Source organism: Homo sapiens, chromosome 5, assembly GCF_000001405.40.
Source record: "Homo sapiens chromosome 5, GRCh38.p14 Primary Assembly".
In the NCBI taxonomy this organism is placed as follows: Eukaryota; Metazoa; Chordata; class Mammalia; order Primates; family Hominidae; genus Homo; species Homo sapiens.
Window position 1 is genome coordinate 17,769,242 of NC_000005.10, and position 27,835 is coordinate 17,797,076.

Here is a 27,835-nt window from a genome sequence, read left to right on the forward strand (position 1 = left end):
TCAGATCTATTAGTTTCCATGTATACTAGCTGCCCATTTCCCCGCACCTATGAGAATGTGAATTTTGTAAGGATAGGTACACTCACTACCTTCTTTACTTCTATATCCCCAGTGCTGAGAACGTTGCCTGAGCATAGTAAATGCTCCATAAATGATTGTTGACTGATGAACCCCCCAGGGACACTCAAACCAGTCAGAACCCAGCTGCATTTTTCCATAACAGGTCATAATTACTGAATTTATGAGCCTTCCTACTTACCAATTACAGCAGCGTGGCTGCTATGGAAGCCATATTTCCTTCTAGAGCCATTAGGAGTGGCTGTGGGAAATACAGATAGTTTGTCACCCTGAATCCAGGTTAAATATTTTGACAAAGAGTTCTGCAGCTCACCACAAGGTTGCAGTCCTCAGGGTTTGTTAAGATAGATCTAGATGCATTTTTATTTCCAAAGAAGAAATTTAGATTTTTATTAGTGTCTATATGCTACATTTTTATAACACACCCCTCAGTGGTGTTATTTAGCTGCACAGTGTGTAAAATTCATAAAGTAATTTTGAATTGCATTTAACTAATACCTACATATTTTTATTACGTGATCTTTGCTGGCATGAGTTGAAATACTGGCTCATAAGCAAAATGTTCTGAAAGTTTTCTTTTGCCCTTTGCTAGTGCCCCAGCCAGGAGACTCTTTGCTTAGATGGGCAACTCAGCAAAGAGTCTCCCAGCTGGGGCACTAGCAAACAGCAAAAGCAACTCAGGGATCCCATGTCCCTAATGTGTCACTTTGGTAGACAGTGTCTACAATTTGCTGCTTAAAATATTAAGTGCATTAATAAAAAGATATTCAAATAACACAGTGACTTGATAGCAGAAGAATTACTAGAGTGGTTCCCCTATTTGGGGCCAGGCTGCTGAGATCATGACATTAACTGATGAATTCAAAGAGTTTCCTTGTGGCAGAAATATTTATTATTCTTAGAAGACCTTGAAGCTGTCCAAATTCCTCCAAGTCACATGTCACATTAATTTTAGAGAAAACAATTCCCAAGGATTTCCTTATACTCTAAAAATTTGAAGGAAGAAGTCATAAACCTTCCTATACATAAATTAGCTGAGCATGTTAATTACATTGATTTGGAAGTTCATTTTTGGGGGCCCTCTGATGGTTAATTCATGAACCACCAGGTTAAATAAGAATCAGAAATGATTTTTCTGCCACACATCTGCAAGTGACCATGGCATCCTGCAGCAGGCACATCTATTTTTAATTATTTGTTTTTAAGAAAGAATTAAAATAGAGGAGTGGTATTTTAATGTTTTTTTATGACCTGTTTATAACAATTTCTATAAAAATTGAACTTAAATTGTCTTGGTGAATGATGTCACCAGCTAATAAAAAAATCTTAGATGTATGATGAAGACAGTCCCGAATGCAGAGTTCAACTAACTGGTTATGAATCAAAAATTTACCAATTATATATCATTAGATAAGTCATACTTTAAGTTTCAGCTTCTTTTTTTTTGTATATAGAAGGAAGGGAGGTGAGGAGTGACACATAGTTTTTAATGTAGAGGATCTTATTTACTGTGTAGTGAGAAACTAACAGTGTGAGAAAGGCAAGTACATGTCAGACAAAGGCCTTGTGGCCATGCCTCCTCATGCTTAGTAGCACATCAAGCTGATGGACGCTTCCTTTTGTATAGGTTGTCTTCAGATATTTGGGAGACTTGATTTATAAACTTGTAGGTGGTCTGCATAGCAAAGTCTGCTTGATAGGAAAAATGTTATATTCTTGAGATAAGCCAAAGGAGGAACACTGGCTTTATTACCAATGAGCCCACTGCCACCCTTCCAGCCTTGCTTGCAATTCTCAGTTCAGAAATATTATAATTTGGAGGCTGGGGACTTTAATTACAGAAAATCCAATGGATGTATACATGTTGCCTGAAAAAGAAGGTAAATTCAAGATGCCCGTTATTAATTTAGCCCTCATCTCCTATCACATGGACAGTGCTTGATCCATATTAATTGCTAGAGAACTCTATAATTTGTGGTACACTGGGAGGGATTTATTTCACCACACACCAGGATGGGACCTAATTTTTGATTTAATCAAATAGTTCCTCTCCTTTGCCATAAAGATTGCTTTAGAAAACCCAGGCTAAGCCAATCAGTATAAGGCACTCTCTTAGCCCAGGGATTGCTTTAGAAACAGGCATAGAACCAAATTTGGCCCAATAAAATACAACAGAAGGTTTCTTTGTAGATTTTGGGAAATAAGTGTTCTCAATTCTAAAACCATTGAGAGAGAAGTTCTATTTATTTCTCTTAAGATTGATGCATTTGGGAGACCCAGAAATGTGGATTCCATCTTTCTATGAGCCCAAGGATGAAGGAGAACAAAAGATCAATAGCAGAAAAACGCAGCTGGACCGCAGATGGTGCAGCCTGACCTCTGCTCTGCCTCTCCCTTTGTCTTTAATTTTCAGAATTAAAATGATTTATCTTGGTGTGGATTTCTTTGGGTTTCTCCTATTTGTGGTTCCCTCAGCTTCTTGAATCTATATATTTATGTCTTTTGCCAAACTGGAAAGGTTTCAGCCACTATAACTTTGAATAACTTTGAGTTATTTTTTTTCAAGGACTCAGATAATATAAATTTAGATCTATTTGGAAAATAGATTAGATTTTCTCCTTTTCAGATTTACTCATTGTAGCAAATAGCAAATTGCTTTATCTCTCAGTTCATTATCTCTTTCCTCTGTCCCCTTTATTCTGCCATGGAGCCCATCCACTGAGATTTTTATTTCAGCTACAGTATTATATATTTTTGTTCTAAGATTCCCGTTTGGTTCTTCTTCTTTACATATTTTATATTTGTTTAGACTATTTTTCATTTGTTGTAAATATGTTTGTAAATTGCTCTCTCAGCTAGTTGCATCGTGGCTGTCACATTGCTGCTGGGGCTCTTTGTCACTGCTGGATGATGGTTGGATTCTAGTTCCCCAGCAGCTCTCCACTGATACCTCTTTGGCTGGGAGGGGTAGAAGTAACTCATGCTCACATAACCTCCACTGATACCACAGAGTGGGGAGGTGGCTTCATTACCACTGGTAGTGCTGAAAGCCCAGACCCTCCACTGGGCCTCCTCGCACATCACCCTGGTAGGGATGGGGAGTGGCAGCTTGCTATTGCCAGCTGTGTGTGGAAGGCCAGTCTTCCCAGATGCCTGACTGAACCTGAGGTCGGTGGGTGCCTCGCTGCAGCCTGGAGAAGGCGGAAGTCAGTGTCCCATGTGGTCATTGTTGCGGTGGGTGGGAGTGGGGCCACAGACCTTTATCCTATGGTGTGTGGCTGGCGTAGAGTGCTTCCTGTCTGAAAGTTCCTGTCTTGATGGGCTGCCCCATCTTGGTCTTTGGCTGGAGGGATTGGGCTTCTGTTGGGGCTTTTTGGGTTTGAATTCATGGGATTTTCAGGTGTCAGCTTTGCTTTCCTCAGCTCAAGGCTGGGATCTATGAGGCAAAATAGAAATTCAGGGAACTCCCCTCTAAGGAGGTACCTCACATCCCAAGGTCTCTGGCCCATTTGCCTTCTCCACATTTCAACATTTTCTATGTTTGTTTGATGGATAATGCCCATGTATTTTATTTCTAAAAATTTTTTCATTTCCATGGTTTTATTTTTTGGGTAAACAGCTGGTATTTGTTGATATAAGTAAGTTCTTTAGTGGTGATTTGTGAGATTTTGGTACACCCATCACCAGAGCAGTATACCCTGAACCTGATTTGCAGTCTTTTATCCCTCACCCGCTTCCCACTCTTTTCCCCTGAGTCCCCAAAGTCCATTGTATCATTCTTATGCCTTCGCATCCTCATAGCTTAGCTCCCACTTATAAGTGAGAACATATGATGTTTGGTTTTCCATTCCTGAGTTACTTTGCTTAGAATAATAGTCTCCAATACCATTCAGGTTGCTGTGAATGCCATTAATTCATTCCTTCTTATGGCTGAGTAGTATTCCATCTCTATATCTCTATCTATCATCTATCATCTATCTATCTATCATCTATCTATTTATCTATCTATCATCTATCTATCTATCTATCTATCTATCTATCTATCTATCTATCTATCTATCATCTATCTATCTATCTATCATCTCTCTATCTACCACAGTTTCTTTATCCACTCATTGATTGATGGGCATTTGAGCTGGTTCCACATTTTTGCACTTGCAAATTGTGCTAATGCCCAGGTATTTTTGTTCTACTTAGTGGAGGAAGAAAGAAAAGTATGTTTATTCTGTCTTCATAGAAGTAAACCTCTCCATGATTTCATTTTTACTTTTCTTCAACAAATAAATTTTTGAAGCATCTAGAATTAAAATAAATTCTATCAAAATAGGTAAGATTTTGATAGAGTGGGATGGGGATCACACATGACTTTTTCCCACCCATGTCATTTATTGTAACAGCATTTATTGAACAACCTATTTTTTCCTCCAAGACTTAAAGTGCCACCTTTAGCATAATGGATTCATATATTTATGTGGATATATTTTTAAATTCTCTACTCTGTACCTTGATCTGTTTATTTGACCTCTGCTACTGAAAGGTTTTGATGACTATTTACTACATGGCAGGTCTGGTTTCTCCTTATTACTCTTTATTGTAAATTTCCTGAGTATTCTTGCCTTTTGTTTTCTAATATAAAGTTTAGAATGAGCTTGCCAACTTAAATAAACTCTTGCATTGTGCTTGGAATATTAAATATATCAATAAAATTTGGAATAATTGAGCCATTTAAAACATTTAGTGGTTCTGTATGAGTGCTCAGTATTTATCTTTACTTTTTGATGTCTTTATGTATCTCAGTAGAGTTTTAATATTTTTTTATAGAACTCTTCAATGAGCCTTATTAGATTTATTTTTTTCTTCTGTGTATGTGTGGGTTTTTGTTTTGTTTTATTTGAAACAGGTTCTCACTCTTGTCATCCAGGCCAGAGTGCAGTGACACCATCACTGGTCACTGTAGCCTCAACCTCCTGGGCTCAGACCATCCTTGCATGTCAGCCTCCTGAGTAGCTAGGACTCCAGGCACCTACCACCATGTCTGGCTAAATTTTTTAATTTTGTTTTTTGTAGAGACAGGGCTCCACAATGTTGCCCAGGCTGGTCTTGAACTCCTGGGCTCAAGCAATCCTCCCACCTCAGCCTCCCAAAGTGTTGGGATTACAGGTGTGAGCCAGTGTGCCTGGCCTGGTTTATTAAGTTTTAGGTATTTTATTCTTTTTTAAAATGCTCCTATTGTAAATGAGGTTTTAAAACTTATTTTTCTGATGATTGTTGTCTTATACAGGAAATACATTGATTTTATTGGTAATTTTGTAATAAGCCAACTGGGTCTTTTTAGTTCTTCTAACAGTTTGTTAGTTCATGCTATTCAATTATAATATTGGCAAACAATAAAATTTTGCCTTTTTCTTTTTAATTTTTACAACTTTTATTTCTGTATTCTGTAGTTAGCATTTTCAGAAATAATATTAGTCAATATTATGGATAATGGTAAAATTTTATCTTATTCCTGACTCTAATAAAATAAGATGCTACTAGTATTTAACAATTAATCATGATGCTGCAATTTGACTCAAGATACATAAATTTCAGAAACAGTCATCTACTTATAATTTATTGGGAGTTTCAAAACGTCAGGGGTAATTGTTGCACAATATTATGTTGAATATTATAAAATGTTCCTTTAGAAACTAGGACATAATCTTATGATATGTTGCCTCCTTTGCTTCATAGATATTATGTTTAGTATTAATGTCGAACCATTCTTGCATTCTTAAAATGAATCTCATTTGTCATCAAGGAGTATTTCTTCTTAATATTATTACTATTATTATTATTATTATTACTACTACTAAGGGACAAGGTCTTGCTATGTTGCCCAGGAGAGTCTCAAACACCTGGACTCAAGTAATTCTCTTCTCTCAGCCTCCCGTGTAGCTGGGACCACAGGTACCCACCACCATGCCTGGTAGCTTTTTATTATTCTTAGTATATACTCTCAATTCTATTTGTTAAAATTTTATTAAGAACTTTCCCTTGATACTTACAAGTGAGATTGACCCATAAGGTTGTCTTGGCTTTTGTGTATTATATTTTCATTGGTAATAGCTTTACAAAAATACTTAGGAACTTTTTCTTTTTTCTTTGTAGTGTAGAACAGTTTAAATAGTATTGGAAATGCCTGTTCCTTAATGACTTGTTAAAATTTTTCTGTAAATTCTTTGGGTCAGATACCATCATGGGAGGGCATATATCTTGGAAAATTTGTCAACCATTTAAAAAAAGATGTCAATTGGTGTGTTTTACATTAAAAAATCTTGTTGGAGTTTAGGTAATGTAAACTTTTCTTCAGAAAATCTTCCATTTCATTCAAGTTTTTAAATTTATTTGCATAGGGTTGAACAATAAATTCAACATTCAAAAATTTTGTCTGTATCTTATTTTTACCTTATTATTCTAAATTTTGGTATTTATGTTCTTTCTTTTTTCTTTATTAGAGTACTTTAGTAGTTTATGTGTTTTATATTTTATAAGAACCAGCTCTTGAATTTAATAATTAGTTTCACTTTTCATTTTCCTTGTTTCATAATTCATTTATTTCTGACTAAAATGTAGTTTACTTTCATCTCTTTTAAATTTTATTTTGATGTCTTTTGTAATTGTTTGAGTTAAATATTTAATTTATTTTCATTGTTCTTGGGTTAATAATAAAAATAATTAAAGCTATAGATTTTCTTCTGAACAGTGCTTTAACTGTGTCTCTTAAGTTCTGAAATCTGTTGTTTTTCATTATCTCTTAAAAGTATGCCACGGCTTTGGATTTGAATTCTTCTTTGAGCTAAGTGTTATTTATAGTGAATTTAAACATTTCTAATTGGTAGCGGTATTTCATTTTTCTTTTTTTTTTGACATTTCTAGCTATATCACATTTTGGTGAGAGAATGTTTTCTGTTTGATACCTATATTCTAGAATTAATTAAGATCCAGTACATAGAATTTTTGGAAATTTTCTATGGGAAATTAAAATGTTTATGTTTTGAGTATAAAATTACTGACAACAAAGAGAATGCAGGCTGGACAAAGAGAATAAAGGGTGGAGAATGAGGGTGCTGCATGGATGGAATTGGAACACCCCTGTGTGTCATCAGAGATGATGGTTATTGGTGATGAAGTGAGGGGCTCTGAGAGGCATTCTCTCTATTCTCCCCAGCCCTGTGCCCATCCTGCACACCTCTCCCTCAAGTTGATAGTTCCATCATCTGTTCTTCCTTAGCCCACTCACATTCACTTCCCTTCAACTCACCCTGGGGCCAAGGAATCGCTGAGTGTCAACTTTGGGCATAATAAGCTATATTATTTACTGAATATTAATTAGTGCCATTCGCTACATCTAAAATGTTTTCTTAATCACTTTTTACAAATTAGTTAAATATCTCCTGTCAAAGTAGCCCTGATAATCTAGCTAGAGATGCTCTGTCCTGTAGTTCTTGGCACCACTGTTGTCTTCATGCCGGGTAATGCTTTGTTTGGGTTTTCTTGTACCCACCAGTCAGGTTTTTTTTTTATTGCAGGGCTTAAATAAATGTTTATTACAATATAGCCTCATTTGTGATAATGACTAAATTCTTGGTGATTGAGCAAAGGATTAAAACAATGTAAATCATTTTTTTGAGTTTTGCTTTTCCTTACTTGACTGTAAACATACCTTTATCTGCGCCCTTCCTTTCCTTCTTTGGTCTGGCTCCGCAGAGGGAAACTTTCCTCCTCTGAAGCTCAGTGTTGGCCTTTGCTACACACTTCCACCTTTGTGTCCCCTTTTCTAGAATGTTCAGGCTTTTTATTTTTTACTAGTTTTTTTTTTTTTTTTTTTTTTTTTTTTTGAGACGGAGTTTCACTCTTGTTGCCCAGGCTGGGGTGCAATGGCGCGATCTCGGCTCACCACAACCTCCGCCTCCCAGGTTCAAGTGATTCTCCTGCCTCAGCCTCCCAAGTAGCTGGGATTACAGGCATGCGCCAACACTCCCGGCTAATTTTTGTATTTTTAGTAGAGACGGGGTTTCTTCATATTGGTCAGACTGTTCTTGAACTCCCGACCTCAAGTGATCCGCCCGCCTCGGCCTCCCAAAGTGCTGGGATTACAGGCGTGAGCCACCGTGCCCGGCCATTTTTTACTAGTTTTTGAAGTTTTCTCTCAGCACCTTGCCTTCTCAACATTCTCTAATCTTGGAAAAAAAAATCAGAGAAAGAAACACAAACAGACCTTCCCCTCCAGCCCGTTTAATGGATTAGAGGGGGATGGGAACCCCTTAGAGTAACCCTGATCCCAAATGAGGAAATGTGAACTAAGATCGCATCATTGTTTGGGGAAAAGGGAATGGTTGCAAGACATTAAGCAGTTTCCCATCTAGCTGACAAATCATCCATGATTCTGCTCTCTTACTGTTTCTTTAATCCATTTCCCTTGCTGCTTTGTCTACCGTTGTCTTCTTCACATCCAAGTTACTGAGAAATTTTATCACCGTCTACCTTATGACTTCCATTTCCCTCGTCCTCTTATTCTCTGCACGTACTCAACACTTGCCCTGTCCACCACTCCGTTGAACTTCTCTCGTTTGTTTCCATTTCTCCTTTGTAACCTGACTGGTGGACGTTTTGCAGTATCTTCTCTGCTGCATTTGAGCCTATTTTCGAACCAAGCGTGTTGAGAATGTTTGATTTCCAGATCCTTTCTTTCTCCAGTGTCTCCTTCTGCTCTTCTGGCTGTTCCTTATCAGTCTCTTGTGGACATTTCTTCCTCTACTCTCTCTTTAAATGGCAGAATTCTTCATGAGTGTTTCCATGTGTCCATGTTCTTCTTTTTTTTGTTTTGTTTTTTTTTTTTTTTTTTGAGACGGAGTCTTGCTCTGTAGCCCAGGCTGGAGGGCAGTGGCGCGATCTTGGCTCACTGCAAGCTCCGCCTCCCAGGTTCACGCCATTCTCCTGCCTCAACCTTCCGAGTAGCTGGGACTACAGGCGCCCGCCACCACGCCCGGATAATGTTTTGTATTTTTAGTAGAGACTGGGTTTCACCGTGTTAGCCAGGGTGGTGTCGATCTCCTGACCTCGTGATCCGCCCACCTCGGCCTCCCAAAATGCTGGGATTACAGGCGTGAGCCACCGCGCCCTGCCAGTCCATGTTCTTCTTACCACACTGAAACTCTTGGGAGATCATATCCCTTCCTATGACTTTACACTTCTTTACTTTGATGACTCTCAAGTTTACCTTTCTAGCTTTGATCTTTCCCTACTGAAACCATCTATGCAGCATCTCTCACAGTCACTAAACTATAACAAATGCAAACAGAATTCACCTCCACCTCTATCTTGCTTTTCTTCCCGAACTTCCCCATTTTGAGGAATCAAGATGACTGAGCCATCAACATCAGGATCCCTTTGGATTTATTTCTTTCTCTTACCCTGAAATTTGGTCTCTTATCAAGTCTCATTTACTCAGTGTGTTGCTGTCTCAAGCTCTTTCTCCCCATCCTCACTGCTACCATCTTCGTTCAGGTTTTTATGATTTTCTCCTGAATTATTGCTAGTGCCTAACCCATTTCCCATAGTACATCAGCATGGCCTTTCTAGAACGTATTTCTGCCTTGGAAAAAGCCCTCGTTTCCTAGAAGAATGAGAAGCAATGGGAACTCTTTGAGGATTTGGTCCCTGCCGACTTCTCCCCCTCATGCCTGCCATCTCTTCTGACCTCTGGATTCTGTGCTCCAGCTGTGCTGGACACCTGCAATTGTCCCCGTCTGTCTTTGCTTTGGCTTCCTATCCACTTCCAGTGTCATTCACTCCCTACAGCCATATTTTGTCCTGGATAGTTTTTATTTGTTTTTTAAGACTTTAATGAGATCTCTTGAGTTCTGTGAAATCCTTTCTGTACCTTTTCCCTAACCATCTCACCACAGACTAGTTTAAGGGGCTGTCTGTATGTGCTCCTCAGCTCACTGGGAACTTATGTTTCTATCACTGTTCTTACCAAATTGCATTATAAGTGCCTGTTTATTCATCTTTTTAAAAAACTTACAAAGATCTGGGCCGGGCGCAGTGGCTCACGCCTGTAATCCCAGCACTTTGGGAGGCCGAGGCGGGCGGATCACAAGGTCCAGAGATGGAGACCATCCTGGCTAACACGGTGAAAAATATGAAAAATTAGCCGGGCGTGGTGGCGGGCGCCTGTAGTCCCAGCTACTCGGGAGGCTGAGGCAGGACAATGGCGTGAACCCGGGAGGCGGAGCTTGCAGTGAGCCGAGATAGCACCACTGCACTCCAGCCTGGGCGACAGAGCGAGACTCTGTCTCAAAAACAAACAAACAAACGAACAACAAACAAAAAAACTTACAAAGATCTTTAAGTGCTCTGAAGAAAGTAACTGTTTCCTGCTTTTTCTTTGTATTCTTTAAATCTAGCACATGGCTTTTTTTAAATGAATGAAACTCAGCAGAGGTTTGGTGATAGAGCTAGATTAGGTCATCTAATCTAATCTAATCTGATCTAATCTAATCTAATCTAATCTAAACATCAAGCATTTTAATGTAATTGTTTGAATCTGAATTTCCTTCCAATCATTGTTCCTATGAAAACATCATTTTAATGTGCATGCAGTTTATAGTGTGCCATTTATCTTAACTTTATATAATATTGATTCATAGTCTTTAAGTGTAGGGATGATATTCCACTAAGTTTCTGTATTACCATTTATTTTTATTGTCCTCTTTTGCTAGCCACTTTAGTTGTAAGCCTTTCTTTTTATTTATAAAGGAACTGATTTTACAATTCTTACATGGCATTTTTCCCTATTTTCTATCAAATAGGTACTTAGTGAAAAAACAGGATCTTGCATAAGAGGATGCCATGATCAGCCACAGTATCATTTCAATTTCTCCATAATATTTTCTTTATAGAATTATTAAGATCAAAGTTGCACCAAAAACAAGGAATTAATGCTGGCACATCACCTGGACACTATTGAAGGAGTGTATGGTTATTAAGATTGGACTCAGAGATCCTGTTGTTTGTTGAAATCTGCACCAGATTTCATCTTGGAAGAAAGTGGCACTCAGGTTCTACATTCATAACCCAAGCAAATACCTGTGATGGATTGTTTTGTTCTCTGATGCTCTGAATTTTCTCCCATTGAAGTAATTGCTAAGGGAAGGATGGATGCTGGGTGAGATGGGAGAGTGGCTTTTACCAAGAGAAGAGCTATATCCACATAACTTGGAAGAAGATAGTGCGAGGCATTTTGAGCATAGAAGATACTTTGATACTTTCCAAAGTTTTGAACACCTACTGGAAATTAAACAATACCAGAAATAATTAATTAATGAACAAATAGGAAATAAACATTTCATTGTCACCTGGGTATATAATTGCTGCAGGGTGACACTCAAGACTCTTTTCTAATATTTTTTATAGTATGTGTTCCCACTGTTCCATCTTTTGGGTTATTCATCTTTCAATAAGCTTCAGTATATTGACAACTTTCTGGAAACAGAGCTCCCAGAGTACATTATTCTAGATGTGGCTTGTTCAGCACTGAGAGGCGGGCTTATGGTTTGCCTAATTCTGACATACATGCCAGTTAGTATAGTCAAAGCTTGCATTTCTTTTAAGAAACCTCATCATTAATCAAAAATGCAATTCACCAATAATTCATGACAATGTTAACTCTGTTCTTTTCAAGGCCATGCCCTGAGTTTTTTAAAGTTGAGATGAAAGGAACAAATCTGCTAGTTAGGGGTGGGAATTTCAGGCCCTGTAGGAATTTCAGGCCCTGAAGGAGTTTCAGGAAGGTGCCATGACTGGGCAGTGGGGGAGTTACTTTGGAATAAACAGGATTTCACCTCTCACCTCACTCCATATGTTTCATTTACTCAGCCCAGGCAGGTGGCCAACCTTGATTAGCACAACTTGACCTCATGTTGGTCTTGCTAGTCCTTGTTGGAGAAAATCTCATCTCCCTGTAGTAGTTACATGCCCAGTTGGCAATGAATTTTTTTATTACTTATTAATTAATTAATTAATTCTGGTATTATTGCATTTCCAGTAGGAATCCAAAAGCTTTGGAAAGTATCAAGAAGTATTTAATATATTCCTTTAAAATTAGACTGCACATCATAAAATGCTAGACTGAACATAACCTAATGTCGAAATGTCTTTGGGGTCTAGATAGATTTGAGTGTCATGACAGACATTTCTATCACTTACTGATATTTCTCATTCTCTTTTCCTTCCTGGATCCTTAGAGGATTATATGCCTCTTCCGTTTAAAGTTAGGCATGGTCAGACTCCTTCCTTTAGCAACAAAATGTGAACAGAGACTCACTTTTAGAGAAACAAATGTTTAAGAGTAGTGTGATTCTCATGGTCTTAACCCTGCCTCAGGAAACTGAAAGCTTCTTGTTGAGAGGTCAGCATTATGGGTGGGCAGGGTTTGCAACGTCCTGTGTCCTTGAATGATTACAATGAGCAGAGCCCCAATGTGACCAGCGTTGAACAAATAGCCCCCATGAGATTGATATTAGGTATGCATTGAATATTTTTGGGCAAAACCATGCATACATGAATCAGTGTCCCCTAAGAAAATTATGTGATTTTTTTTGGTGGGAAGACAGTATTGGAGTCTTGGCCCCCACGTTGGCAGAGCCTATATTTCTTTTCTGTAGGACTAACATTCTAACACTTATTTCAAGATCTTTCTCTATGCCTTCTCTGTGAAAAATAGGCACAAGTTTGAGAAAATTGTAATTTGTCTTAAAAGACTATAAATTTTCAATGTTCACGACCTTCTTGCTTATGTAGATTATCCCCAAATGAGATGGATGTGAACTGATCCAATTTTGCTTCAAAATTTTTTAGAGGAAATGTTTATTCTTTACAATTTATTTTTGAGAATAAAATGGAGTTTTTTCTTTTTAAATACATGTTGTCTTGCTAAAAATTTTATATGATGCATTGATTAAAACTTTGCCTGTAATATATGTTTTAATACATTTTGAATAAATAAGGATGAATTTTGCTGTAAAGAAATCACAGAATCTGAGAGCAGGAAGAGAACCTGGGCATTGTGCACTTTATTCCTTCCTTGTATAAAGTGGAGGATGTAAGAGTTTTCAGGAGAATGCTGAAAATTTAATTGGTTAAGTTTTTGACTCAAAAATTATTAACATGAAACATTTAATTGGTTAAATATTTCGACTGGAAAATCATTAATATGAAAGACCTCGGCTGGGTGCGGTGGCTCATGCCTGTAATCCCGGCACTTTGGGAGGCCGAGGTGGGTGGATCACGAGGTCAGGAGTTCTAGACCAGCCTGACCAATATGGTGAAATGCTGTCTCTACTAAAAATACAAAAATTAGCCGGTCGTGGTGTCATGTGCCTGTAGTCCCAGCTACTTGGGAGGCTGAGGCGGGAGAATTGCTTGAACCCAGGAGGTGGAGGTTGTAGTGAGCCGAGACCGTACCATTGCATTCCAGCTTGGGTGACAGTGAGACTCTGTCTCAAAAAAAAAAAAAAAAAAAGTAAAAGAAAAAAAGAAAGACCTCACAATTGTGCTATTAAAAAATTTTAGCATGTTAAAGTGATATCATTCATTACAGATTTTAGGTAATACTGATGAGGGGTCCTTTAATTGCTATGTTCACATTTACTACCTCCAGTAACAGAGAAAAAGTGAAGACAGCTGCTGCTTCTTCATTAGTTATTTCTTGATCAATGTTTATCAGAGAAATAAATGAATTTTAAATGACTAACAAGGGCTTTCTAGCTAAAAGTGAAAAATGATCAAACATTATTTCTCTCCTGAATTTTCTACCATGTTAGTAAATGAGAGTGAGTGATATATATCTGTTCTGATTCTATTAATGTCAGCTAATTCTTACCACATCACTAATGGCAGATGTGACTGACATCTGGCTCTCCCCAGGACCACTCCAGTCACAGGTGTAGTCCAAAGAAAACTTCCTGGCTAGAAATATCAGAATATTATTTTAACAAATAATTACTAAGAGTATGCTATATGCCTGCCTCCAATAGTGCCAGACATATAGCACACTCTCAGTAATTATTTGTTAAAATGACACTTGAGCATATCTTTAAAACTTGTCATATAGGAAAGCAATGGTCTATGGAGTATTAATTTATTTGCAAAGTTACAAGCTATGGAAGGAAAAAAATTATATTTCGAGAGCATGTAGAATATAAAGGGAAGCAGATTCTTGTACCCTGAAGGAAGGGCACCATGGAATAGAAGCAAGAGTGGCAGTTGAAGACATTTCTTGTTATTTTATAAATTAGCGTAATTCTGCAATTAGCAGTCGAGTGGGTGATCCTTCCTTTTTCTCTTAGTTTGATTGACAGGTTTGTAGTTGAGCATAGCTGAGTTAGCATTATTTCCAAATGTGTTTTAAAAGAAAGTAAAACTTTTTTCCCCCTTTCATTAGTGTCAGTAAAAACCTATTTTGAAAATCCCAAGAAACTGAACTACTTGAGCAAAATGAAGATTGTGGAAAGAGCCCTTTGATGAACTAATCAACACCTATTCTCTCTTCTTCCACACTGAAAATCAATGTTTTCATCAATTTATCATGTGCACTGAAATGAGATATGAATAGAAAGTTCAGTCTCATTTTGTTTTCCATTGTTTTAATAGGACACTATTAAGTTAGTGCTTATGAAACATCTATTTATTTAAGCATTCACCTTGGACTCTTCTAGCATCTTTGATACAACATTGTCAAGAGCCTGACATTTGGTATACTTGATGGACATGCATTTCTGCAGTACACTTGCATTCATGAAAGAAAACAAAGCATAAAGGTTTAAAAAACCTATATCTGCAATAACAGAACTTCAAAAGAAAGGAATTATATTTTTATTTTTATCAAAATTACAAAAATTCACAGCTAGGTCAGTTCCATGCAAGGAGACATACCTGTGCCATGTAAAAGTCATTGCACAAATATACTGAAGATACATGGAGGTGGTGTATAGTAGCTACAAGTTCCATGTGAGGCAAAGTGGCAGGTTGAAAAGAAGTGGACATTGACAGACGCCATCAAGCCCAATGTTACGTGAAGAACTGTAGATGCCTTCCATATCTCTTCTGCCATATTTAGACACAAAATAGATACTGCTCTAGGAAACATCTCTACAAATTTTTGCAAATAGAGAATTGTAAAGGTGCAGATAATTATTTCATTATATTTGGAAAGTAGTTTTATGTTACCTCATGTTGTATCTTTATGCTATTTTTAATAAATTAAAATATTTTATATAGCCAAAGTGAATCATTAGAACCCATTATCACTATGTACAGTCTTTTAGTATTTAATAAATTCACATGCACAAATATGTTTATTGTAGCATTGTACACAATAGCAAAGTCTTGGAACCAACCCAAGTGCCCATCAATGATAGACTGGATAAAGAAATGTGGCACATATACACCATGGAATACTATGCAGCCACAAAAAAGGATGAGTTCATGTCCTTTGCAGGGACATGGATGAAACTGTAAACCATCATTCTCTGTAAAGTAACACAAGAAGAGAAAAGCAAACACTGCATGTTCTCACTCATAAGTGGGAGTTGAACAATGAGAACACATGGACACAGGGAGGGAAACATCACACACGGGGCCTGTTGGGGGGTGGGGGGCTGGGGGAGGGATAGCAATAGGAGAAATACCTAATGTAAATAACAAGTTGATGGGTGTAGCAAACCAACATGGCACATGTGTATCTATGTAACAAACCTGCACGTTGTGCACATGTACTCCAGAACCTAAAGTTAAAAAAAAAAAAAAAAAAAAAAAACAACAACTTTAGGCATGCTTAGAATTTGTAGTTAATCCCAACCAAATCATATACTAAATCCTAACATATAACATGCGGAATTTTCAAATTTTTTACCTATTACTACTTAGCTAATGAACAAAATGATGCCAACAATTCAAATGAAAGGAGACTGATATCTCAATAACCAAATATAAAGTTACTATGAAGTTCCAACTAAAAGTTATCACAAAGAAAGATATAGGCAGACATAATTAACAGTTTCAAAAATTATAGGGCAAATTTGTTAGTATGGAAATTATTTAGCACTTAGGGGTTTAATAGAATACAATTCTTCTAAATTTTAAATAATCAGGTGGTGAAAGAAATTAGAGTAAGAAGTAATATATCTACAGTAAGTTTTAAAAAATTTTAAATTCTAATTATCCATGTTTGAATAAAAATATTCATATTTATTACATTTTATAATAAATATTCCTCTTTTTAGGGCCTACAAATTTGAGAACTAGTCCAGCATATTCTGGTTGGGTTCACCTTCTCTCTGATCATCCACCATTGGCCACCTTTGGGTGACATCTCACGGTAGGTGACCATTGCTGTCAGGACCTGCCAGGGTGCTCCTGAGTCTAGGACAAGGCCTCATGTCCTTATGCTCCGCAAAGGATAAGGTCTGAGGTTTAAATTGTGTGATGACTTCCTGGAGTCTTCACTGAGCCAAACTCACTCCAGTCCTTACATAAAGGAAAGCCACTCCCCTTGTCCTCAGGGGGTCACAGCTTGTGCTGTGTCCTCAGCTGTGCTGCAAATACCTTCCATCTTAGGCAATCCTTCAGGAGAACAACTCAGGCTTCTACCTGATGTGCTGTCCAGTGGCCTCAGGCAGAGGCAAGTGCAACAGACAGTGGAGCTGTTCTGGTTTTTATTCTTGTCTTCTCTGGTGTTAGCTCCCATCAAAATCCAAACCAACCAAATAGAATACAACACATCACTGCCAGGACATACTGCTGGCTCTTCCCATCAGTTTCTCTGACTAGCCCAGTTAGGTCCAAATGGCAGCTTCAGTTCGAACTGGATGCCTTGCTGTTCTAACCTTTCTATTGTATGCATGTTAAGGTACAAAGAGAAAACACACTTTGCTTTTTCTGCCACTCACCTTTTAAACCTGTCCCGTGGGATAGACAGTTCTTTCCTTGCCTCTGGACGAACTCAGATTTATATCAGAGTTTTATTCAGCTACAGTTGGATAATAAAGAGCTCAAATAAAACTCCAGAGAACAGTCTCACTTCAGCCATTAAAATGTCCAGACCAGAGTCATAATCACACTCAAGACACTGAAAATTCATGCTCCTCTCTGCTGGGCTCCAGCGTGAAAGTGCAGATCATTCCAGATTTTGTTTTTTTTTTTTTTTTTTTGAGATGGAGTCTCCCGTTGTCGCCCAGGCTGGAGTGCAGTGGTGCAATCTCGGCTCACTGCAAGCTCCGCCTCCCGGGTTCTCGCCATTCTCCTGCCTCAGCCTCTGGAGTAGGTGGGACTACAGGCGCCCGCCACTAAGCCCGGCTAATTTTTTGTATTTTTAGTAGAGACGGGGTTTCACCGTGTTAGCCAGGATGGTCTCGATCTCCTGACCTCGTGATCAGCCCCCCTCGGCCTCCCAAAGTGCTGGGATTACAGGCGTGAGCCACCACACCCAGCCTCATTCCAGATTTACCTCTCTCTCTCTCTCTCTCTCTCTCTCTCTCTCTCTGTCTCTCTCTCTCTCTCTCTATCTCTCTCTCTCTCTCCCCCTCCCCCTCTCTTCCCCCACCCCTCTTCCTCCCTCTCCCTATCTCTGCTATTAAGCCAATAGCACCAGAGTCTCTCTAGATCTTCTCTTTTGTTTGTGTAAATCAGTACTTAGTCAAGACTGACCTACTGTAAGTGGCAGAGCCTTACAGGTTGTAAAAATATAAGAACACTTCTGTAAGTTTGATAAATAAGTGACCCTGAGTTACCCAGTCAAGTAGGCACCTCCTTCCCCTTCCCCTTCCTTCATGATTCTCAGTTTTCCACAGTTCAGCAATGAAGAAGTAACTTCTAGCCCCTCAGGGCTCCAGGATCCTGTTCAGCCATTGGCAAGCTCTGTGCAACAGCCAGGTGTCAAATATTTTGAATCTCACCATGGAACCAATCCAGACCCCTAAACCTTCCAGGGACATGGGTTAAGCTCTTTGGTGGTACCTTGAAGCCCTTTTTTGTCTGTCTGCCCTCACCCTTCACCCTTCACAGGCAACTCTATCCAAACTGATGCCTCTAATCTCCACTACAGGGATGGGCTCCCAACAGCTGGCAGAACTATGCTGGGCCCTACCCTGTCAAGTAACTCACAGATGACCCCGCAGCTTGCTTTTAAAAGTGAATGACACTTTGCAGGTACTTTTTATTCTAGGCTTTTGGCATTCCGCTGAATCAGTAAAAGTTTACTTTTTAACCATCAGTCACATTCTATTTGGTATGAGCACAAATCCACCAAGAAAATTCATGTCATTAATAACCTCATTTTTGATTGAAAGCTAATATTTAGCTTCTACTATATAGGACTACTACAAAGATATAAAAGGGGTTTCTTGAGGAGCAGAGAAATCATTATGTGACTAAGTTAAAATTTGGCAACAATTTAGATGTTATTTTGGCATCCATGAGAATGTTTGTTTCCATACTAATTATATACATATACATGTATATAAATATAGAAATATATTTATGCAGGTCTGTATGTGCATGCTTATGCAGAAAGAACACTTGGCAATCTACTTGGCACATTAAAATACACAGAGAATTTATGGTTTATATTATGAAGAACACAAACATTAAAAAGAATAATCTGTGAGTCGCAGCAGAAAATAGAAAAATAATTTATTAGAAAATTATCTGAGGGTAAAAGGGGTAAAGATAATGCAAATTGTAGACTTCAGTTTTTCAAATGTGAAAAATGGTAAAAAAAATTGTTCTATTTCATAGGCTGAATAAGCTGAAAATGACATTATTCTGAACCATCAATATCTCCCGATTTAAAAATGTCTTCCCTCCGTCTTCTCTTTTTTCATCTCTACTCCCATCACCATCTCACTGAAGTTGTACAACATCATGCAGTCATTTATATTCACCTATTTAAAATAAAAACCTAATCATACCAAGCAGAAGAAAAATGAGTCTTATTATGCTTTTAAGAGAGTGCCAAATGCCTGATCAGCATCTAAAGAGGATCAGGGAAAGATTTAATTGTTAGCTTAGTGCATTTTGAAATATTAGCAGGTCAAAGATTAAGACAGGGAGATAATTCTGGACAGAGAACCTAATAAGGTTGCTAATGCATCTCAAAGAGCAAAAGAGGAGTGTGATGTGTTTTGAAAATATTGATGAGGTTTTACTGTGGGTCCTTACATGTCTGTGGTACATCTTCATTCCTAATGACAGAGAAGTCTTACATTGCTAATGCAATGGATGCTGCATACTTAATGTCCCACATATTCTCACTGTTCAGTAAAATGAAGAACTACCTTTTGATGTCACTAAATTACTCAGCTACATATTTTGGTTATTTTAGACATGGGTGCTTTTACGTCTCTCACATCAATGGTAACTTTGAACACCTTTCGAATACGAAACTCACAGATTAGAAATTAAAAAAATGGTGGTAGGTTTACATTCAAATATATTAGGGATATATTACAAGACAGGCATTGCAAAAGGACCTGAGTTCTAGTTTTCTCCCACATTTGTCCCCCTACTCAGTAATCCTAGAGTAGGAATGATGGAGGTGGAGACATAGTTTAAAAAGAGCTTGGGCTGGGTGTGGTGGCTCATGCCTGTAATCCCAACACTTTGGAGGCTGAAGCGGGCAGGTCACTTGAGGTCAGGAGTTCAAGACCAGCCTGGCCAAGATGGTGAAATCCCGTCTCTACTAAAAACATAAAAATTAACCGGTTGTGGTGGCGGGTGCCTGCAATTTCAGCTACTCAGGGGGCTGAGGCAGGAGAATCGCTGAAACCACGGAGGCGGAGATTGCAGTGAGCCAAGATCACACCACTGCACTGCAGCTTGGGCGACAAAGCAAGACTCCAACAACAACTACAACAAAAAAGGTCATTAACTTATTCTTATAAATGATTATTGCTGTTTAATTAGAAGATTCTAAGTGAACTTAGCTGATAATATTTTCCCCAAGCCAGAATAATGAATTATCTCAATTATACACGTTTTACAGTTTATAATTTTAGCTCTTTGTATTTTAGAGCTCTGAAGAAATACTAACGAAAAATGAAAATTACCATTCAAGAGAATTACCATTTCAAGAGTTGGTATGTTTTAGGAACAAAACATACTTAATCATGCATCTGCGATGGATTTCCTAATTTGGCCTCCCGAGTAGGACACCTTGAGAGGCAAATAGTTCCACAATTATATGGGAAGGAGATGGGAAGGTGCCAGCCAAGAGAGTCTCTCATGTGTATGAAGTAAAGGAATGAAGCAAGGTCTAGGGAAGCATGCTTTTCTCTGTGTGTCATGGTTACAGCAATGATAGAGCATCTGTGGATGAAGCGTTTCCTGATCCTATTTACTTCATGTGATTATTTGATTATTTCAGTAACCACACACTCAGTCACCATTCATTCACATGCTCCTAGAAGAAACAGGAGCCACACCAAATTACATTTTACACATTTTATTCCTGCATTAAGGATTGGATTATAATGTAACCTTTCTGGACTCTTTTCATTTTTATGACATTTATAGCTTTTGTTACATGCCCTTACATATGCCATGTGGATGGAGTGCGAGGAGAAGCAGAGAGCAGTCGAATTGCTCAGCGTTCCTCTAAAAAGGACACCATCAAAAGAGGTGAAGGACCAGGACTTGAATATGTTCATTGAAGACTCTTGTCAATCAAAGAGATCGAGATTGCTGAGAGGCTTATTCTCAGGGACGTGGGTCACCCCCAAATCCACATCCTTTTGGTGATTGCAGGCTGCATTGCCCAATCTTGATGTGCCTCCAGCTCAAAAGGCTCATGGTTTCCTCAACCCTGCTGTTTATTTCTCTCCCTTGTTACATACTTTGTGTCTCTATTCTGTCATACTTCTTTTCCTCCTCAGCACCGATTTTTAATAGACTGTTACTCCTTTCTAGGATACATTTGAGTGACCAAATTCAGGTATGAAACATATTTCTTCCATTGCCAACTTCTGTTTTCTCAAATCCTCCTTTCACATTTACAACTTAGCTGAAATTTTCTGTCTACATTCTCTTTTCTTGCCTTTGAACACTTCTCCTCCTCTGCTCCCCTCCCCAATAGAATCCAGCCTTTGAAATGCTGCCCTACAGTAATTGTTAAGCTAATTTTCTCCCAATTTTCTTATGGTTTACTAGAAAGCCTTTTTTGAGTGGTGACAAAAATTCATAAAGCACATTATGCTAAGAGACATTTGCATAACTTGGTATCCATCAATAATTCAAATGTTGATATAAAGCTAAGCATAGACTTACCACATGACTTAACATTTACGCTTCTAGGTATTCATCCAACGGATTTGAAAAATTATGCTCACACAAAAGCCTGCACATGAATGTTCATAGCAGTTCTATTCATATTTACCAAAAGCTGTGAGGAATCAAGAAGTCCTTCAAAAGGCGAATGGAGAAACAATTGTGGTACCTCCATACCATGGAATACTATTCAGCAATAGAAGTACACTATCAAGCCATGTAAAGATATGAATGAATCGTAAATGAGCATTGCTAAGTGCAAGAAGTTAGTCTTAGAAAGCTACATACCATATCATTCCATTTATATTACATTCTGGAATAGAAAAAAAAAAAACTGTAGAAGCCAAATCAGTGATAGGCAGAGTTTTGGGGAGGAAGACGGATTCATTAGGTAAAGCACAGGTGATTTCTTTCAAGCCTATAAACCATTCTGTACAGGACTGTAGTGGTGGATACATGACATTATTAACTTGTCAAATCCCATATAACTTTATAGTGCAAAGAATTTACTGTAATGTAGGCACAATTAAAAAAAAAATCAACCAGAAGATCAGGAAATCCAGAATGGGATGCAGACTGTAACTAAATAATCTGATCATATTATAAATGTATGAAATAACCTCACTTAAGAGGGTAGGGACAAAGAAATGCTGATTTAATTAACTTCAGTCATTGGGTACAGTGTACACGGCTCAGGTGACAGGTGCACCAACATCTCAGAAATAACCACTTATCCATGTAACAAAAAACAACCTGTTCCCCAAAAGCTATCGAAATTTTTAAAAAATCAAAGAAAAAAGTTATGTATCTAAAAAAATAACTTTGGAATGACTTTAAGACTAATGACAAACTATTAAGCTAGGTAATTATTGTACTCTAGTTGATAAAGTTATTTCTTAACAGGTGTGTGACTTCACAATTATGAAAACTCTGTACATGTCTACTAAAATTAAACAAATAAATAAATGGATGGTGGATGATGGGAGCTAAGTTTTTTACTGTTGAAATGGGGTTAACACATGTTAAATAAAATAGGCAGAAAGCCATTGGCCTGAGGCTGCCTCTGTACATTGAGTTCCAAATAACAAACTACAACCTAACTTAGGAGTATACGTTTTGTAACAGATACCCAGGTCTCAGCCAATCACAAGAAGTCAAGCTTCGGCCAATCACAGGCAGCCAACTGACCAGAGCACATCCAAATAAGGCAACTGCAACCAATCAAGCTATCTCTGTGCTTTACTTCTGTGTTCAGCCTATAAAAGCTCATTGCCAAAACTGCAGAGCAGTGCTCTCTGAATTCTCTTCTGAAAACTCCCTGTTCCCCCAAAACTACTGAAATTAAAAAAGAAAAGAAAAAAATTATTATGTATTGATATGTTTGGTTGTGTCCCCACCCAAAATCTCATCTTGAATTGTAATCCCCATAATCCCAACACGTCAAGGGAGGGACCAGGTGGAGGTAATTGGATCATGAGGGTGGTCTCCCTCAGGCTGTTCTTGTGATAGTGAGTCTCGCGAGAACTGATGGTTTTATAAGCATCTGGCATTTCCTCTGCTTGCATTCACTCTGTCCTCCTGCCCTGTGGAGAAGGTGTCTGCTTCTCCTTTTCCTTCTGCCATGATTGTAAGTTTTCTGAGGCCTCCCCAGCCATGTGGAACGGTGAGTCAATTAAATCTCTTTCCTTTATAAATTACCCAGCCTCAGGTATTTCTTCATAGCAGTGTGAGAATGGCCTAATACATGTATTCTAAAAAAAATTAACTTGGCCGGGCGCGGTGGCTCATGCCTGTAATCCCAGCACTTTGGGAGGCCGAGGCGGGCGGATCACGAGGTCAGGAGATCGAGACCATCCTGGCGAACACGGTGAAACCCCGTCTCTACTAAAAATACAAAAAAAAAAAAAAAAAAAAAAAATTAGCCGGGCGTGGTGGCAGGCGCCTGTGGTCCCGGCTACTCTGGAGGCTGAGGCAGGAGAAGGGCGTGAACCCGGGGTGCGGAGCTTTCAGTGAGCCAAGATCGCGCCACTGCACTCCAGCCTGGGAGACAGCGAGACTCCATCTCAAAAAGAAAAAAAAAAAAATTAACTTTGAAGATGACTGAAGACTAATGACAGATTAAACTATTAAACTGTATATAAGTATTGTACTTGTTTAGAGTCCAATTCATGAGTTATTCGTTGCTCAGATAAACTCTTTTACATTTAATTTGTCTAAAGCTTTTATATTAACACACATAAGCGAGGGAGAAAGCTAGAATGAGCCTCATTTTTATGGATTAAGTTGGAAACATCAGTATGAATTCGTGTTTAGCTTAATGTAGAGAGTGATGGCTATGTGGAGAAATAATTCTAAACAATGTGTATGCAAAGGTTGGCAAACACACATCTATTTCCTAGCCCTGCTCACCTAGGAAACCTAAGAGCAATGGCTTCCCACTGGCAATGAGTACAGCCAGCACCCACGTAGTAGTTTTTAATGCCATTCACCGGTAAAAGGAACCAGGGTTTCTTGCAAAAATAGCTAATTTTAGGGCCGATTCTGAAATACACGTGATGAGCCAGGAGCATCTTCTAATGTCAGAAACTATGGAAGTGCTTTAAAAGATGACATGGTATGTCAAAGAGATGCACGAGACAACTGAAAGAGTTTCCAACTGCCAAAGCTTATAATGGTATGTTAAATAATGTAGTAATAGATTACAACCCAAAGCATAAATACGTTCCTGTAATCCCAGCTACTCAGGAAGCTGAGGCAGGAGAATCGCTTGAACCTTGGTTGTGGAGGCTGCGGTGAGCCGAGATGGAGCCGCTGCACTCCAGCCTGGGCGACAGCGTGAGACCCCGTCTTAAAAAAAATATCCCCCAAAAACAAAACAAAACAAAAAAAGTATAAATAAATATCCATGATTGTATACTGACACAAATAAATAATTGAATAAGTAAAGAAATGTAGAATAGATAAATCTACTATACAGAGAATTCCAAATAAGCTACGTAGCTGCTCCCTCCTCAAGGTGATAGAGTATAACTCTGTACTCCTTATGTGTCTGTGGGGCTACATGTAGTAACCTGCTTCCAAAGAGTACAGAATGGGAATGGGGGAGTAACAAAGTAACTTTACAGTGAAGAAACCTGTCAGTCTTGTCAGGTGATAAAGGTTTATGGCATCAGAGATAAGTTGTTAGCATAAACTCTTGATGTGTTGTGTTGAGAATGGCACTTTCATAACCCTAGGTTAGCTGTGAGAAAAACCTCAGCCAAATTCGAATTGAGGGACATTGTACAAAACACCCAACAGGTAAACCTCAAAACTCAAGGTCATATAAAACAAGAAAAATGTAAGAAACTGTCACAGCTAAGAGGAGCCGTAGGAGACATGATGACTCAATGTAGTGTGGGATCCTGGAATAGAAAAGTGACATTAGAGAAAAATTAGGAAATCTGATAATGCGTGTTCTTTAGTTAATATATATTACTATGTAGAGAGTTACCCAGAAAGCAGGATTTGACTGGTTAACAGCCCCAAACTAAGAAGTACCTTTGGTGAGACAAAAGCCTCCTGTGGGCAGGGAGATGCGTGGTGGAGTGGGGTGGTCTGGATACCTGGACTGGGAGAAGAAAGGATTGAGGAACTAAAGTAGAGCTCTATTATGGGATGTAGACTTTGCTCCAGCTGGGTGCTGTAAAATCTTGAGAATGAATCAGCTGCAAGGATTCAAAGCCAGAGCGCAATGCAAAGGCTCTTCATTGATGAGTGACTAAGAGACAGCCATATAGCTGTGTAGGATTTGTCAGAGTCTCGCTTTCTGTTACTTTGGAATCCTGGAAAAACTAGAATCTCTACAGCTCAAAGTTAGTCTGGAAAGTTTGGGCAATGGAAACATGCTTTACATTGAGTTCTGAAGGTTAGAACATGTATGAATTGTTGAAGTTAAGCTATGGGGGGTCCTTGTAAATGAGAATTAGGCACAGATAAACAGGTGGCAATCAACTGGCTTGTTTGGCTAAAATAGAGCAGACAAGTCTGGCTGTGACACTAGGAGAAATCAATTTGATTTGAATGTTGGGGGAATCAATAGAAAGAAATCATAAAATGGCCAGTGGTGTATTTATATAAAGTTGATGAGTTTATATTCTATTATCAGAGAAATTGTAAACGGTTTTTCCCTGGAGAATACATGTTTCACTCTTTTTGAATATTTTTCTGTTATGTAAGGTACTTTAATTTGATACAAAGGGATTGTGATATTGTGAAATATTGTACTTGGTTTTCATCACTGTTTCCTGACATGCAGTTCCTAAAACCCTTGCCATCTCCAGTGGTATGTGTCTTTTATATGCTAATGAGGTGGCTTGTGGCTAGGATGGGGGCTAGTCACCCAAGACCAAGGCATGGTTAGAAGATTGGAACTTTCAACCCCATCGCCCAACTTCCTTTAACCTTTAGGGAGGGGAGAGGGGCTGAAAGTTGAGTTGATCACCAATGGCCAATGATGCAATCAGTTATGCCTATGTAATGGAACCTCCATAAAAGCCCCATAGAGCAGGGTTTGGAGAGCTTTGGATTGCTGAATGCATGGAGCTTTCTAATGGATGGTGTGTCCAGAGAGGGCACAGAAGCTCCAAGCTCCTTCTCACATACCTTGCCCTTTGCATTTCTTTCCTCCAGTTGTTCATCAATATCTTTTGTAATATTCTTTATTAATAAACCAGTAAAATGTAAGTGTTTCCATGAATTCTGTGAGCCATCATGGGAAATTAATCAATTCAAGGAAAGGAGTTGTGGAAACCCTCAATTTATAGTCAGTCTTCAGGAGTTCCAGAGGCCCAAACTTACAACTGGTGTCCCTAGTGTGGGCAGTTTTATGGGCCTGAGCCCTTGACTTGTGGGATCTGACACTATCTGCAGGTAGATAGTGTCAGAATTGGGTTGAATTAGGGGACACCCAGTTGAGGTCTGCTGAAAAATTGCTCATTAGGGAGCTGATGTTACCAGCCCACAGCCACAGCTTGCTGGGGCAGGCAATTTTTGCCTTCCACCTCCACATTTTGGTGACCAGAGATGAAGCATTCTGTATAAGACAGGAGGGTAAGAAAATCATTTTTTGTTTTTCCTATAACCTCACTCACAGTGGTCATTTCGTAGTTGATGTGGGCCAATTCAATTGTGTTAGTCTATTAGCAGGTCATAGACACAATGCCACATTCAGCCAGATGGTTAGGTTATTAGTTGGTCAAGTAACCAATCAAATATGGTGAATGAATAACAGATCAAATTTTGGGGAGATAATAAACATATCTCTTTGTGATCTCCAAATTTAAATTGTTAAAAATATCACACTTTAAATGAAATATGCATAATTTTGAATTAGTTAAGGACTGTTTTAGTCATTTTGAATGGCAGGCTGATAAGTGGTCCCCAATGATCCTGCGTCTTGGTATTCACACCTTTGCATAATTCTCTTCCCTTAAGTGTGTGTTGTACATAGTGACTGACTCATTAATGAATAGAATATGGCAAAACTGATGCGATGTCACTTTCACGATTGGGTTACAGAATACCATGACTTTTGTTTCTGTCTCTGTCTCTGTTACTCACCTCTTGCTCTGGAGGAAGCTGGCTGCTGTATTGTGAATGGTTTGCAGAGAGGCTTATGTGACATGGAGCTGGTGTTACCAGCCCACAGCCAGCCAGGACTGGAGGCCTACTGAGAGCTACATGGATGAGCTTGGAATTAGGCCTTCTCCCTGTCATGTCTTGACATGATTGCAGCCATCATTGACCCGTTGATGGCAGCCTCGTGAGAGATGCTGAGCCAGAGGTCACAGTGAAGCTACGCCAGGAAGCCTGACCTTCAGAAACTGTGAAATAAAAACCTTTGTTTTAAGGTGGTAAATGTTGGGGTAATTAGTTATCAGCATTACATGACTAATCCAGTCATATACATTTTATATTACATTAAAATCAAGTCAAAAGATGAGCTTTTACCTTTAAATAAGGAGGGTAATATTAACATTCTGGGAAAATATCTTTCAGCTGTTTGAATACGTGTTAACAGGGTTACTTCTGTATATAGGACAGCTATGAAACTAGACAACAGGATTGCTATTTCTGGAGGAGCACTGTGGCTCATCCCTGTAATCCCAGCACTTTGGGAGGCCGAGGTGGGTGGGCCACTTGAGGTCAGGAGTTCAAGACCAGCCTGGCCAATATGGTGAAACCCCATCTCTAATAAAAATACAAAAATTAGTCAGGTGTGATTGTGCAATACAAAAATTAGTCAGGCTTGATGGTGCATGCCTGCAATCACAGCTACTTGGGAGACTGAGGCAGGAGCATTGCTTGAACCCAGGAGGCAGAGGTTGCAGTGAGCTGAGATCGCACCACTGCA

The 27,835-nt window shown here is 38.7% G+C and overlaps 1 long non-coding RNA gene across 2 annotated transcripts in view; it reads left to right on the forward strand.

Annotated features, from left to right (window-relative positions):
* LOC105374666 (uncharacterized) overlaps positions 1–16,498 on the forward strand; it is a 41,940-nt gene extending 25,442 nt beyond the window's left edge. The window contains exon 3 of one of the 2 annotated variants that reach the window (XR_925809.3): positions 16,404–16,498. This is a non-coding gene — a long non-coding RNA (uncharacterized LOC105374666). Of the gene's footprint in view, positions 1–2,335; positions 2,519–16,403 lie in introns of those variants that run through there. The other variant, XR_001742615.2, reaches the window with a different exon arrangement.
* Positions 16,499–27,835: the final 11,337 nt, after the last annotated feature.